At 38.1% G+C, this 15,389-nt stretch overlaps 1 protein-coding gene across 78 annotated transcripts in view; it reads left to right on the forward strand.

Annotated features, from left to right (window-relative positions):
• MEF2A (myocyte enhancer factor 2A) overlaps positions 1-15,389 on the forward strand; it is a 151,072-nt gene that overhangs the window by 118,418 nt on the left and 17,265 nt on the right. For 76 of the 78 annotated variants that reach the window (NM_001400049.1, NM_001400057.1, NM_001400064.1 and 73 more), the window contains one exon: positions 6,407-6,594. The exons of the other annotated variants lie outside the window; for them this stretch is intronic. In NM_001400049.1, coding sequence (NP_001386978.1) covers positions 6,407-6,594 — 188 coding nt within the window. The remainder of the gene's footprint in view (positions 1-6,406; positions 6,595-15,389) is intronic. 78 annotated transcript variants of the gene reach the window in all.

Here is a 15,389-nt window from a genome sequence, read left to right on the forward strand (position 1 = left end):
TGTAGTCTTTTATGCCTCACTCCCTCCCAGCCTTCCTCCTTGAGTCCCCAAAGTCCATTGTATCATTCTTATGCCGTTGCATCCTCATAGCTTAGCTCCCACTTATAAGTGAAAACATGTGATGTTTGGTTTTCCATTCCTGAGTTACTTCTCTTAGAATAATGGTCTCCAGTTCCATCCAGGTTGCTGCAAATGCCATTATTTTGTTCCCTTTTATGGCTTAGTAGTATTCCATGGTGTACATATATGTATATATATATATTACGTTTTCTGTATCCACTTGTTGGTTGATGGGCATTTGGGCTGGTTCCATATTTTCGCAATTGCAAAATGTGCTGCTATAAACATGTGTGCGCAAGTGTCTTTCATATACTGACTTCTTTTCCTCTGACCCAGTAGTGGGATTGCTAGATCAAACCATAGTTCTACTTTTAGTTCTTTAAGCAATCTCTGTACTGTTTTCTTTAGTGGTTATACTAGTGTACATTCCCACCAGCAGTGTATGAGTGTTTGCTTTTCACCATATCCATGCCAACATCTATTATTTTTTGATTTTTTAAATATAGCTATTCTTGCAGGAGTAAGGTGGTATCTCATTGTGATTTTGATTTGCATTTCACTGATAATTAGTGATGTTGAGCATTTTTCGTATGTCTTTTGGCAATTTGTGTATCTGCTTTTGAGAATTGTCTATTCATGGCCTTTGCCCACTTTTTGATGGGATTGTTTTTTTCTTGCTGATTTGAGTTCCTTGTAGATTCTGGATATTAGTCCTTTGTCAGATGCATAGTTTGCGAAGATTTTCTCCCACTCTCTGGGTTGTCTGCTGATTATTTCTTTTGCTGTGCAGAAGGTTTTTAGTTTAATTAGGTCCCATCTATTTATTTTTGTCTTTGTCATATTTGCTTTTGGGTTCTTGATCATGAACCCTTTGTCTAAGCCAATGTCTAGAAGAGTTTTTCCAGTGTTCTAGAATTTTTGTGATTTCAGGTCTTATATTTAAGTCTTTGATTCATCTTGAATTGATTTTTGTGTAAGATGAGAAATGAGGATCCAGTTTCTTTCTTCTACATGTGGCTTGCCTATTATGCCAGCACCATTTGCTGAATAGGGTGTCTTTTCCCTACTTTATGTTTTTGTTTGCTTTGTTGAAGATCAGTTGGCTGTAAGTATTTGGCTTTACTTCTGGGTTTTCTATTCTGTTCCATTGGTCTGTGTGCCTGTATTTATGCCAGTACCTTGCTTTTCTGGTAACTATAGTCTTGTAGTATAGTTTGAAATGGAAATAATGTGATGCCTCCAGATTTGTTCTTTTTGCTTAGTCTTGCTTTGGCTATGCAGGCTCTTTTGGTTCCATAGGAATTTTAGGATTTTTTTCCCCCCTAGTTCTGTGAAGAATGATGGTGGTATTTTGATGGGAATTGCATTGAATTTGTAGATTGCTTTTGGCAGTATGGCCATTTTCACAATATTTATTCTACCCATCCGTGAGCATGAGATGTGTTTCCATTTGTTTGTGTCATCTGTGATTTCTTTCAGCAGTGGTTCATAGTTTTCCTTGTAGAAATTTTTCACCTCCTTGGTTAGTTATGTTCCTAAGTATTTTTTTTTTTTGCACCTGTTGCAAAAAGCGTTGAGTTCTTGATTTGATTCTCAGCTTGGTCATTGTTGGTGTATAGCAGTGCTGTTGATTTTGTGTCCTGAAACTTTACTGAATCCAGTAAAGATGTCATAGATGGCTTTTATTACTTTAAGATATGCCCCTTCTGTGCCAGTTTTGCTTATTGACTTGTGTATGTTAAACCATCCCTGCATCCCTAGTATGAAACCCACTTGATCATGGTGTATTATCTTTTGATATGCTGTTGGATTCGGTCACCTGTTATTTTGTTGAGGATTTCTGCACCTGTGCTCATCATGGGTATTGGTCTGTAGTTTACTTTTGTTATATCCTTTCCTGGTTTTGGTATTAGGGTGATACTGGCTTCATAGAATGATTTAGGAAGGATTCTTTCTTACTCTGTCATTTGGAATGGTAAAATAAGATTGGTACTAGTTCTTCTTTGAATGCTTGATAGAATTCGGCTCTGAATTCATCTGGTCTTGGACTTTTTTTTTATTAGCAGTTTTTAAAATTACTGTTTCAGTCTCGCTGCTTGTTATTGGTCCATGCAGAGTTTTTATTTCTTCCTCATTTAACCTAGGCGGGTTGTATATTTCCAGGAATTTATCCATCTCCTCTAGATTTTCTAGTATATTTTTCCACCCCTTTACTTTATGTGAGTCCTTACATGTTAGGTGAGTGTGTTGAAGACAGCAGATACTTGGTGGATTTTTAACCATTCTGCCATTCTGTATATTTTAAGTGGAACATTTAGGCCATTTATATTCAACGTTAATATTGAGATGTGAGGTACTATTTTATTAATCATTGTGTTAGTTGTTGCCTGAATACTTTTTTTTTCATTGTGCTGTTGTTTTATGGGCCCTGTGAGATTTATGATTTAAGGAGGGTGTATTTTCAGGTTTTGTTTCAAGATTTAGAACTCCTTTTAGCATTTCTTGGTTGTGCTGGCTTAGTAGTGGTGAATTCTCTCAGCATTTGTTTGTCTGAAAAAGACTCTCTCTTCTTCATTCATGAAGGTTAGTTTTGCTGGGTACAGAACTCTTGACCGGCAATTATTTTGTTTGAGGAAGCTAAAGATAGGACCCCAATCTCTTCTGGCTTGTAGGGTTTCTGGAGAGAAATCTGCTGTTAATCTGTTAAGTTTTCCTTTGTTGGTTACCTGATGCTTTTGCCTCTCAGCTCTTAAGATTCTTCCCTTTGTCTTCACTTTAGATAATCTGATTACTGTGTGCCTGGGTGACAATCTTTTTGCAATGAATTTCCCAGGTCTTTGAGCTTTTTGTATTTGGATTTCTAGATCTCTAGTGAGGCCAGGGAAGTTTTCCTCAATTATTTTCTCAAATATGTTTTCCAGACTTTTAGATTTCTCTTCTTCCTCAAGAACACCACTTATTCTTAGGTTTGGCTGTTTAGCGTAATCTCAAATTTTTTGGAGGCTTTGTTCATTTTTGTTTTTTGATTTTTTTTTTAATTTGTCTTTGTTCGATTGGATTAATTCTGTCACCTAGGCTGGAATGTGGTGGCGTGGTCTTGGCTCACTGCAACCTCTGCCTCCTGGGCTCACCTCAGCCTCCTTAGTTTCTGGGACTACAGGTGCACACCACCATGTCCTATTAATTTTTCTTTTTTTTTTTTTTTTTTTTTTTTTGTAGAGACGGGGTTTCACCATGTTGCCCAGGCTGGTTTTGAACTGGGCTCAAGCGATCTGCCCACCTCAGCCTCCCAAAGTTCTGGGATTACAGGCATCAGCTACCACATCTGACCCAGAGGCAAACCATTTTACGTCTCAGAATGCAGTCTTGTCAGGATGAGATTATTAGGACGAATTTTAGACCAGTGTTAAGCACACAGCAGACACTCAGTTTTTGTTAGTCCTTGCACGTGTATTAATACAGGGGTGTGTGGGTGTGTGTGTGTATTTGTAACACCTAGTGTCTGCTTATTTTTCGTGAATTCTGAAGTTTTCTTTTTGGCTTTATACTAGAATGAAAGGAGCAGAACAAATACAGCTACTTTTTCCTTCTGATGGTCCCTGAAGCTGTGGATTATCCAGGCTTATCTGCTCTGCCATTCCTCACTCACACCTTGTTCATTCGTGCTTTAACGTGTTTTTCTCACATTTATCCATAATGCCTGCCTTCTCTTTTCTTCTGTTCTTCTCTCATTTCAGACTGCTCAGTAGTTAATCCCACAAAGGCTTTCCTAATTAAGCTGATAGATTTGTTATCAGTGCTTTCTATTTCATTGTAAATTTTGTGTGGTTACCTCTAGTTTGCCCATATTGTGAGTATAATTTTGGTATATTCATGCCTATGTGATATGCCTGCTCTTGCTAACTAGATGAAAAGCTACTTGAAGACCTGTAGGCTTTTTATGGTTTCTCTACATATACCCTCCCAGGGGCACAGTACTGTATACATAATAGATATTTGAATTTTTTTAATTTCCAAATAGTAAAGGTACTTCTATGATTTCCAATTTTAGGCAGTTGCTAGTCTTAATGACATGTGAATGCTGAGTCCTCCCCAGAGAACTTAAGAGGCCTGTTTGGCTCATCAGGAACCTCTGGTTCACTATTCTGAATATTTTGTTCTTTGCCAGCTTTGTAATAAACACTTATCTTTTATTCTTCTCTGCTTTATTTGTGATTTACTTTGAAATTGAAATACCACACTGTAATCTCTGTTTTATAAATGCACATTATATGTTTCTGTACACTGGTTACTTATCTACTTTTTACTTGTCATTATCTCTGCTGTTGGACTGCAAGCTGGTGAATAATAGCTGTTTCTATTAGGATAGTATCAGTTGCAACTAACAGAAAACTACCTCAGGCTTAAATTGTATAGGGGATGTATTAACTTACATGTAACCGAAAGATCCAGAAGTGGTACAGACTACAAGCATGGTTTAATCAGGGATTTTACATCATTTGTTTGCTGTTCTCCTTTTTGTATCAGCTTTTTCCTCATTCTGGCCTTCTTCTGAGTCTCAAAATGACTTAATAAAATGCTGGCCGGACACGTTGGCTCATGCCTGTAATCCCAGCACTTTGGGAGGCCGAGGCGGGCAGATCATGAGGTCAGGAGATCAAGACCATCCTGGCTAACACGGTGAAACCCTGTCTCTGGTAATACCACAAAAAATTAGCCGGGCGTGGTGGCGGGCGCCTGTAGTCCCAGCTACTCAGGAGGCTGAGGCAGGAGAATGGCGTGAACCCAGGAGGTGGAGCTTGCAGTGAGCCGAGATCGCGCTGCTGCACTCCAGCCTGGGCAACAGGGCAAGTCTCCGTCTGAAAAGTAAATAAATAAATAAATAAAAATAAAATGCTTCCTCAGGCACAGTTTAGGGAATGTGAGAGCCTCCTGATAATCATGGAAGAGTTGTTTTACCCGGGTTCTGATTGGTCATTACCACATCCAGTCACTGTGGTGAGCGAGAATGACCTGAGTCAAATGCCTATCACTAAGTTCATCTGGGGGCTGGAGGGAGGGTTGCAGAGAGTCAGCCCCACCCAGTCCACGTGGTTGCTATACATGGGAAGAAGTAGAATGACTGACTACAGTATTCATGAAAACAGGATGGTTTCATACGTATTTTATATCTCAACTAGTACCCAAAAGTATTATATACATAGAGCATATATCACAATGTGCATTTTTCCTCATTTCATTAAGGGAGATGGAAGGTTCTGTTAGGGAAAGTTTAGGAATAAGATGATTAAAGTGAGATAAATCAGAAATATTTAATAAGGACCTCAGTGAAGCTGAAGAAACAGACTCAGTAGAAGTAGAGCCATAAGGAAGAAGTACGTGGTGAAAACGGGGCATTAGAAATGAGTGCTGAATAAGCTGCAGTTAAGAAGCTGCTCTGATACCTAGTTCACTACTCAGAACTTAGTGGTAGCAGTGCCTTTGCTCTCACAAGAGTGAATGAATAGGCTGGTCTCAGACATTTTTCTATAATACCTCCATTATTTTAGTCCCCAGTATGAGATGCCCTCTTAGAAATGTGGTCTTTTGCTTGTTTGTTTCTTTGAGACACAGTTTCACTCTGTCACCCACGCTGTAGTGCAGGGGCATGATCTCAGCTCACGGCAACCTCCGTCTCCCGGGTTCAAGTGATTCTCCTGCCTCAGCCTCCTGAGTAGCTGGGATCACAGGCGGGCGCCACCACATCCAGCTAATTTTTGTATTATTAGTAGAGACGGGGTTTCAACATGTTGGCCAAGCTGGTCTCAAACACCTGACCTCAAGTGATTCACCCTCCTCGGCATACCGAAGTGCTGGGATTACAGGCGTGAGCCACTGCACCTGGCCAGAAATGTGTTGTGTGTTAAATCTCTTTCAGCAGGTCCAAGGAGTAATGCTGTACAAGTATCATTAGTCTTAAGCTTTATATGTATTTCAGACTTTGCTTGTCTTCCTTTGCTTATTTTTAAGATATCCCAAGGTACTTCATTAGTTACCACAGGTTGAGTATCCCAAATACAAAATGCTCTAAAATCTGAAACATTTTGAGCACTGACGTGATTCTCAGAAGTGTCAATTGGAGGATTTTGGATTTTCAGGTTTAGGGATGCTCAGCCAATAAGTATACAAGTATTCCAAAATCAGAAACACTTCTGGTCCCAAGCATTTCGGACAAGGGATACTCAAACCTGTAGTGAGTTTTGTTATAAAATTTATTTGCAACTCAGACTGGGGAAAACTTGATTTGTTTGTGCCAAAGTATTTTAATAACTCTTCTCACTTTATTGAATGATATTTTTCCCCCCAGGGAATGGATTTGTAAACTCAAGAGCTTCTCCAAATTTGATTGGAGCTACTGGTGCAAATAGCTTAGGCAAAGTCATGCCTACAAAGTCTCCCCCTCCACCAGGTGGTGGTAATCTTGGAATGAACAGTAGGAAACCAGATCTTCGAGTTGTCATCCCCCCTTCAAGCAAGGGCATGATGCCTCCACTAGTAAGTTGAACCTTTCTTCAACTTCATTCTTTAAAACACATATTTTATACATAGTCAATCTGTAGCTTCCTTTGGAATTTTCTGTGCCACCGTAGAATCTACACCTATTCCTAATAAATATTTCCATTCAAAATTAGTATTTGAAGAGACAAGTCTATTTCAAATACACAAAAATCAGATTATGGAAATTTGCTTAACAGTTACTTAAAATTAAAGCTAAATACGAACGTGGTTGGAACTGGAGGTTATTGTGTTAAGTGAAATAAGCCAGGCATAGAAAGATAGATACTGCAAGGTCTCACTCATGTGGGACCTAAAAAAATTGGTCTTGTGGAGATAGAGAATAGAATGATAGCAGAGGCTGGGAAGGGTGTGTGGGTGGGAGACGGGATGAAGAGCGGTTGATTCGTGGGTAAAAACATACACTTAGATACAATAAATATACCCCTGTATTTGATAGGAGAGAAGGGTGACTATAGTTAGCAACATTGCAGATGGAGTATATTTCAGAGTAGCTAGAAAAGAGGACTTGAAATGTTCCCAACAAATAGAAAGGATAAATACTCAAGGTAATAGATGCCCCAAACACCCTGACCTGGATCATTACGCATTCTATGAATGTAACAAATATTCACATGTACCCCATTAATATGTAACACCTTTCGAATCAGGTTTTTTTTTTTTTTTTTGAGTCGTTTTAAGGAGTGAAATTTAGTAGCCAAGAAAGAAGGAAGGAAGGAAGGAGAAAACAGCTCCCTCCAACAGAGACAGAGGGAGGGGGGATTCAAACAAAGAGGAAACCCCTCGAATGAGTTTTTAAAAAGTAAAATACAGAGAGATTATTATGTTTAATTTTAATTTTACCAGGCTAGAAGCATTAACCATGACTTATTTATTCTCTGTACTTTGTATACTTTCATTAATCAATTAAACATGCTTTTCTGTGAGAGAAGCACTAAACTATTTGTTAGAAAATTCTACATACCAGGCAGGGTACAGTGGCTCACACCTGTAATCCCAGCACTTTGGGATGCCAGGGCGGGCGGATCACCTGAGGTCAGGAGTTCAAGACCAGCCTGGCCAACATGGTGAAACCCCATCTCTACTAAAAATACGAAAATTAGCCGGGCGTGGTGGCGCGTGCCTGTAATCCCAGCTACTCAGGAGGCTGAGGCAGGAGAATCGTTTGAACCCAAGAGGTGGAGGTTGCAGTGAGCCGAGATCACACCACTGCACTCCAGCCTGGGTGACAGAGCAAGACTCTGTCTCAAGAAAAAAAAAAGAAAAAATTCTGCATACCACAGAACTATTGTAGGATAGGGAAGAAAGCACACAAACTTGAGTGAGTTATTCTCCAATTAATTTTATTTGCTTATTCCTTCTCAAATAACCTATTTAACTGTATAAAGAATGCAGGTAGCCTCTATTCCACTCCTTGATGACGGCTTTAGGGTTCTAGTCTCATTTGTTTTTGAGTCTTAAGTCTGTTTGTAAAGAACAGGAGAATCTATTTATCGCCCTTAGCTTCCTGTAGAAAAAAAACTAGAATATATAATCAAGTTTTAAAACTTCTTAGTTTAGCAACTGTTTGACTACTACCATACTAAATGATATGCCAGGTGTTCTCTCTGCTGAGCAGTTGCTAAACTCACCATTAGAGTTTTTGCTAAGTGAAAGTGATGCTGTCAGGCTTAGATAATAATTCCACTTTGGTATAATGCTTTATAGATTCCATAGCACCTTCATGTGTATATTGTCTCATTTAATTCTCAATTAGCCTGTGTCATTGCAAGGTAGAGATGTGGAAACTGAGTTAAAGGTTATTACTTGTCCAAGATAGTTCAAAATAGAGCTAGGACCAAATCTCTAAGTCTTACAGTCCAGGTCAAAAAACAAGTACTTTTTTATCTGGTTATACAGAAATCTGGAAACAGTCACTCCCAGCCTCACAATTAAAAAAACTTGGATATACAGAAAGTTCATAGTTTTCCTTGAACTCATTATAGTGCTGAGATTTCACGGCAACCAACTGGCCCAGATACTCCAGAGTCAAAGACACTGTAAGGAGAGTTGACATTTGAGCATTAGACAAGACACAGATGGTAAGAGTTAAGCTAGGGTGATTGGTGAATTGCTGGAGGCCAGGTGTACACTGACAGAACTGTGTGAAACTCCTGGGGGCCGCAGTATAACACAGGGTGAGTCTGTGTTCTCTTGTATACTTTTTTACTCCGTGAATCCCATGGGGTGCTCAGAAGCTCCTGAAAAGGTCTCGCTGTGGTACACAACTGGGAGAGGGGAAGAGTAGCCACTACACTAGGGGCAAAAAGTTTTGCCAGGATCTTTTTGTCTTCTTTCTCTAATATGAAACAAAAGCTTTAATCTCTGAGAAGACGAACAACAAACATTATCACTCTTAGGGCACTGTTGAAATCCTGTTTAATGGAAAAGGCAAAATATCTCAACCAGTGGTGAAGGAACAGGAAGACATGCTCGGTATGGAGCGATGCCAGGAGAGTGGCAGGATGACTGAGAAGGCCACAGCCTGAGGCACAACAAGAGAGGGGATGACTTAAAGCTGAGAGTGGAGCAGGCACTAGGGGAAAACCTGGCATGCAGATCCCCACCCCCAGAGGGATATGAAGCTTGTGGTAGGTGCCCTGATGGTAACCAGAGCAACAGTAAGGCTCAAACCCAGTCCAGCTTCTAATGAAATTAACTCGATTCTTGCACTAATAGCTTAGCAGGAGGGAAAAACCTGTAGGTCTATTAGTAGGAATTACCCATGCTGAAATACAAAGAGAAAGAAGAGTGAAAACAAGACAAAATAAACAGAATTAAGTATCCAAGAGCTATGCACCATTATCAAATGGTATAACATATTTATAATTGGACTTCCAAAAAGAGAAGAGAGAACAGATTAGGAGTAATATTTTAAATAATAACCAGTACCAAGTAGGATAATTACTACTGCCAACACACACATGCACGCATGCACACACACACACAGATGTATGCACGCACACACACTCTCACTCCTAGACTGCTAAAAGCAAAAGATCAAGAGAAAAATCTTAGAGATACATTACAGAAAAACAAAGATAAGGATTAGTAACATACTTTTTTCTTCACAAACTAAACTATTCAAGCGAGAAAAAGGGAGTAACATTATTTAATGTGCTGAAATTTTTTAAAAATTCCTCACCCCAAAATTCTCTACCCACCAAAAATATCTTTGAGAAATGAAGATTTCCTCAAACAAAAGTCATGGGAATTTATTGCCAGCAGACCTGCTCTACAAGAAATGTTAAAGGAAGCCCTTCAGCAGGACTGTGATCCCAGCAAAAACTCGAGTCTACACAAAGAAATGAACAGTGGAAATGGAATAAATGAAGATAAAATAAGTAAACTCTGGTTTTCCCTGCATTTTATAAACGTTTTATTTTTAGAACAATTTTAGATTTATAGAAAGATTGCAAACATAGTACAGGAAGTTTTCATACACCCCACACATCATTTTTTCTATTAACATTAGTATGGTGTATTTGTCACAACTATTGAACCACTACTGATACGTTATTATTAACTGAAATTCGCAATTTATTCAGATTTACTTATTTTTAACCTTGTGTCTTTTTCTATTCTAGGATCCAATCCAGGATACCACATTATATTTAGCAATCATGTCTCTTTAGCCTCCTCTTGACTGTGAGAGTTTCTAAGACTTTCCTTGCTTTAATGACCTTGACAGTTTTGAGGAGTACTAGTCAGGTATTTTTATAGAATGTCTCTAGTTAAGATTTGTCTGATGTTTTTCTCATGCTTATACTGTGGTTGTTGGTTTGACTGAGGTAGGCCATAGAATTAAGATGCCGTTTTCATCACATCATATCAAGAGTGCCTACTACATTTATTATCCCTTATCTGATACTCAGGACCAGAAGTATTCCAGATTTCAGATTTTTTCAAGTTTTGGAATATTTCCCTTATACTAATAAGTAGAACATCCCAAATCCAAAAATCTGAAATCCAAAATGATCCAATGAGTACTACATGCGAGTGTCATGTTGGTGCTCAACAGGTTTTAGATCTTGGAGCATTTCAGATTTCAGATTTTCAGATTTGGGATGACCAACCTGTATCGTCATAACTATTGCTGATGTTCATTTGGTCACCTGGCTGATGTTTAACAGGTATTTACCAGGTTTCTTTTCTGTGAAGTTACTCTTTCTCCCGCTTTTCATACTGTAGCCTTTGGGTAGGAAATTACCATGTTCAGCCCACACTTTTAAGGAGTGGGGAGTTAAGGCTTCACTTTCTTAAGAGAAGGATATCTACATAAATTATTTGGAATTCTTCTGCACGGGAGATTTATCTCTTCTCTCTCATTTATTCAACCATTTATTTCTATCAATATGGACTCGTGGGCATTTATTTTAATACTTTGGTTTATAATACAATACCACGTTTTTCTGTTGCTTTGTTCTAGCTTCAGCTTTTGAGGGCTATCTACTTGATTCCTATGTCCCTTTGATATATCCTTATTTTTGTGGGTTTTTTTTTTTTCAGGGGGAGCAGGCGCTTTTTTATTTTCCGGCACTATAATATATTCTAGGCTTATCTTGTGTATTTTCTGCCCCAGTCCTAGAATCAGGCATTTCTCCAAGGAACATTATTTTTATGGAGAATGAAAGAAACCAAGATCCGAGTGCTTTCCCTCTTTTTAATTGCTCCAAAAGGTATCTGACTATGTAAGGCAAAAATAGTAACTGTATTTTGTTTCTGTAGCACATGTAAAAATAAAATATATGACAACAAAAGATGGGAGGGAGGAATTGACTCTACACATGATGTAAATATTATTTGAAGATGAACTCAAGGTAACTAAAGGTGTATATTATAAACCCTAGTGCAACTACAGAAGAAAATTTTAAAGAAGTATAAATAAGTCAGTAGAAGAGATAAAATAGAAATATAAAAAATGCTCTACTAAGTAGCCCAAGAAATGGGAGAAAAGAAGACAAAAAGCAAGATAATGGTAGCTTTTAATCCAGTCATATAAGTAATCACATTGAATGTGGTGAGAAAGCGTCAGTTAAAAGATTGTCAGATTTGTGTGTGTGTGTGTGTGTGTGTGTGTGTTTCTTAAAAAGCAATGTGGTGGCTCATGCCTGTAATCCCAGCACTTTGGGAGGCTGAGACAGGCAGATCACCTGAGGTCGAGAGTTCGAGACCAGCCTGACCAACATGGAGAAACCCTGTCTCTACTAAAAATACAGAATTAGCTGGGCATGGTAGCACACGTCTGTAATCCCAGCTACTTGGTAGGCTGAGGCAGGAGAATCACTTGAACCCGGGAGGCGGAGGTTGCAGTGAGCCAAGATCATGCTATTGCGCTCCAGCCTGGGCAACAAGAGTGAAACTCCGTCTCAAAAAAAAAAAAAAGAAAAATGCTGCTTACAAGAAATCCACTTTAAATATAAAGACATAGATAAAAGAAGGGAGAAAATTTACCATTGCAAACACCAAAAAGAAAGCTAAAGCAGACCTATTAATTTCAGACAATATAAGCTTCACAACAAGGAAGAGTATCAGCGATAAGGAGGGACGTGACATAGTCCACTTTCCAAGAAATAACTGTCTTTAATGTGTATGCACCTAACAGCAACCTTCAAAATACATAAAGTGAAGACTGATAGAACTAAAAGGTGAGTAGAAAAATCCACAATTGTAGTTGGAGACTTCTATATCCCTCTCAGTAACTGATAGAACAAGTAGGCAGAAAAATCAGTAAGGATCTAGATGATTTGAGCAACACTCGACCAACATGACCTAAGAGACATTTATAGAACACATCACTCGACAACAGCAGAACACACACTTTTCACAAGTGCACATGGAACATTCACCAAGATCACATCCTGTGCCAGGAAACAAACTGGCAAATTTCAGTGAATTGAAATCAGGCATATTATATTCTCTGGCCATAAGGAAATCAAACTAGAAATCAGTAACAGAAAGGTAGTAGGAAAATGGCCATATATTTAGACATTAAACAACATATTTTAACCCAAGGACCAGAGAAGAAATCTCAAAGGAAATTTAAAAATACATATAGCCAAATGAAAATGGAAATACAGCATCAAAATTTTGAGGCCCAACTAGAGTAGTGATGAGGTGAGATTTATAGCAACAAATGCCTATATTTGAAAAGAGGGATCCCAAATCAGTAATCTAAGCTCTTACCTTAAGAAACTCAAAAAAGAAGAGCAAACTTAACCCCAATCAAGCAGAAGAAAGGAAAATGTAAAGTGATACCAATTCTACACAGTCTCTTTCAGAAAAAATTAGGAGAGAACACTTTCCAACTTATTTTTTTAGGTCAGCATTACCCCGCTGCAAAACCAAAGTAAGCCAACACAAGAAAAAAAGTCTACAAATCCATATTCCTCATGAACTCTAGACACAAAAATCCTCAGTAAAAAGTAAGTAAATTGAGCAATATATAAAAAGGATAATACATCAAGACCAAGTTGGTTTTATCCCAGGAATGCAAGGCTGAGTCTACATTTGAAAATTCATTAGTATAATCAGTATATTAACAATTGAACATCTATTCATCATTTAAAAAAAAAAATCTCAATGAACTAGTAATAGAAAGGAACTTAATAAAGAGCATCTACAAAAAATATACAGCTAAAATACTTCATAAGGGGAAAGCATTCAGTCTTCTAGCATTTGGAGCTAGGTAATGATATTTTTTTTTCTCACCAGTCATATTTACCATGGTAGTAAAAGTCCTAGCCAGTACAGTTAGGCAAAAATAAATGAATAAAATGCATATATATCGGGAAGAGAGAAATTAAACTTCCTCTATTCATAGGAGATAGATTCTTTCATGTAGAAAAGTGTAAAGAAATTACAAAAAAAACTCCTCGGACCAATCAGTGAGTTTAGCAAGGTTGCAGGGTACAAAGTTAATATATAAAAATCGATTATATGCCAGCAGTGAACAATTGGAGTTTGAAATTTAAAAAAAAAAATGATAACACCCCAAATAAAGGAAGGAAAAGAAACATCTAGGTAAAATTCTGACAAAATATGTACAGTCTGTATGTTGAAGACTGCAAAACACTGATGAAAGAAATGAAAGAAGACCTAGATGAATAGATAGATACATCATGTTAATGGATTTCAAGACTCAGTATTGTCAAGATGTCATTTCTTCCCAGATTGATCTGTAGATTAAACACAATTTCAAAATCCCAGCAAGCTCTTTTGTAGTTACTAACAAGCTGATTCTAAAATATATAGGTAAAGACGAACTACAATAGCTAGAATGATTTTAAGAAGGAACAAAATTTTAAAAAAATACTACTACTACCCGATTTCAAGACCTACTACAAAGCTATAGTAATCCAGAAAGTGTGATATTGACAAAAGGATGGGCACATAGATCAGTGGACAAAACGGCTCAGAAAATTTACACCTATACGTATATATTCAGCTGGGTTTTTGGCAGAGGTAGTAAGGCAATTCAACAGAGAAAGGATGGTGGTTACAACGAATGGTGTTGAAACAATTCTACATCCATACACAAAACAAAAACAACCCAAAGTCTGAAAATAACTCAAACTTTATTAAAAAATTAACTAAAATTGGATTATAGACCCAAATTTAAAACAGGAAACTGAAATTTAGAGGAGAAAATCCAACACAAAAAGCAGGATCCATAAAGAAAAAACTGATGTATTGGAGGTTGAACTTAAGTTTTGCTCTGTGAAAGGCACTGTTCAGAGAGTATAGGACAACCTACAGATTAGAAGAAGGTATTTGCAAGTCACATATCCAATAAAGAGTTTGTATCCAGAATATTTTAAGAATTCTTAAAACCCAACAGTAAGAAAACATTTTTAAAAGGGCACAAGATCTGAACACATACTTCAAAAAGAAGATACATGGATGGCAAATAAGTGTATGAAAATATGCTCAATATTATCAGGCTTAGGGAATTGAAAATTAAAACCTAATGAGATATAACTGCACATCTAGTAAAATGGCTAAAATTTAAGAAAACGCAACGGCTGGGCGCGGTGGCTCACACCTGTAATCCCAGCACTTTGGGAGGCTGAGGCAGGCAGATAACCTGAGGTTGGGAGTTCGAGACCAGCCTGATCAACATGGAGAAACCCCATCTCTACTAAAAATACAAAATTAGCCAGGGGTGGTGGCGCATGCCTGTAATCCCAGCTACTCAGGAGGCTGAGGCAGGAGAATCGCTTGAACCCAGGAGGCAAAGGTTGCAGTGAGCCAAGATCATACCATTGCACTCCAGCCTGGGCAACAAGAGTGAAACTCTGTCTCAAAAAAAAAAACAAAAACGCAAAAACTAGAAATGCTGGTGAGGATGCAAAGCAGAAAATCTCTCCCATATCTTTGGAATGCAAAATGGTACAGCCACTTTGAAGAGTTGGTCAGTTCTTATGAATTTAAATATACACTTGCTGGCCAGGCAGGGTGGCTCATGCCTATAATCCCTGCACTTTGGGAGGCCAAGGCAGGAAGACTGCTTGAGCCCAGGAGTTCAAGACCAGCCTGGGCAACACAGCAAGACCCTGTCTTAAAAATTAAAAAAAAAAAAACAAAAAAAACTTGCTGTACAATCCGGTAATGCCACTCTTTGAGTATTTACGCACATGAATTGAAAACTATACTTATAAGAAACCCGTATCTTTCATAATTGTGAAACACTGAAACTAGCCTAGATGTCCTTCAACAGATGAATGGATAAACAC

The sequence above is a fragment of the Homo sapiens genome, chromosome 15 (assembly GCF_000001405.40).
Source record: "Homo sapiens chromosome 15, GRCh38.p14 Primary Assembly".
Lineage (NCBI taxonomy): Eukaryota > Metazoa > Chordata > Mammalia > Primates > Hominidae > Homo > Homo sapiens.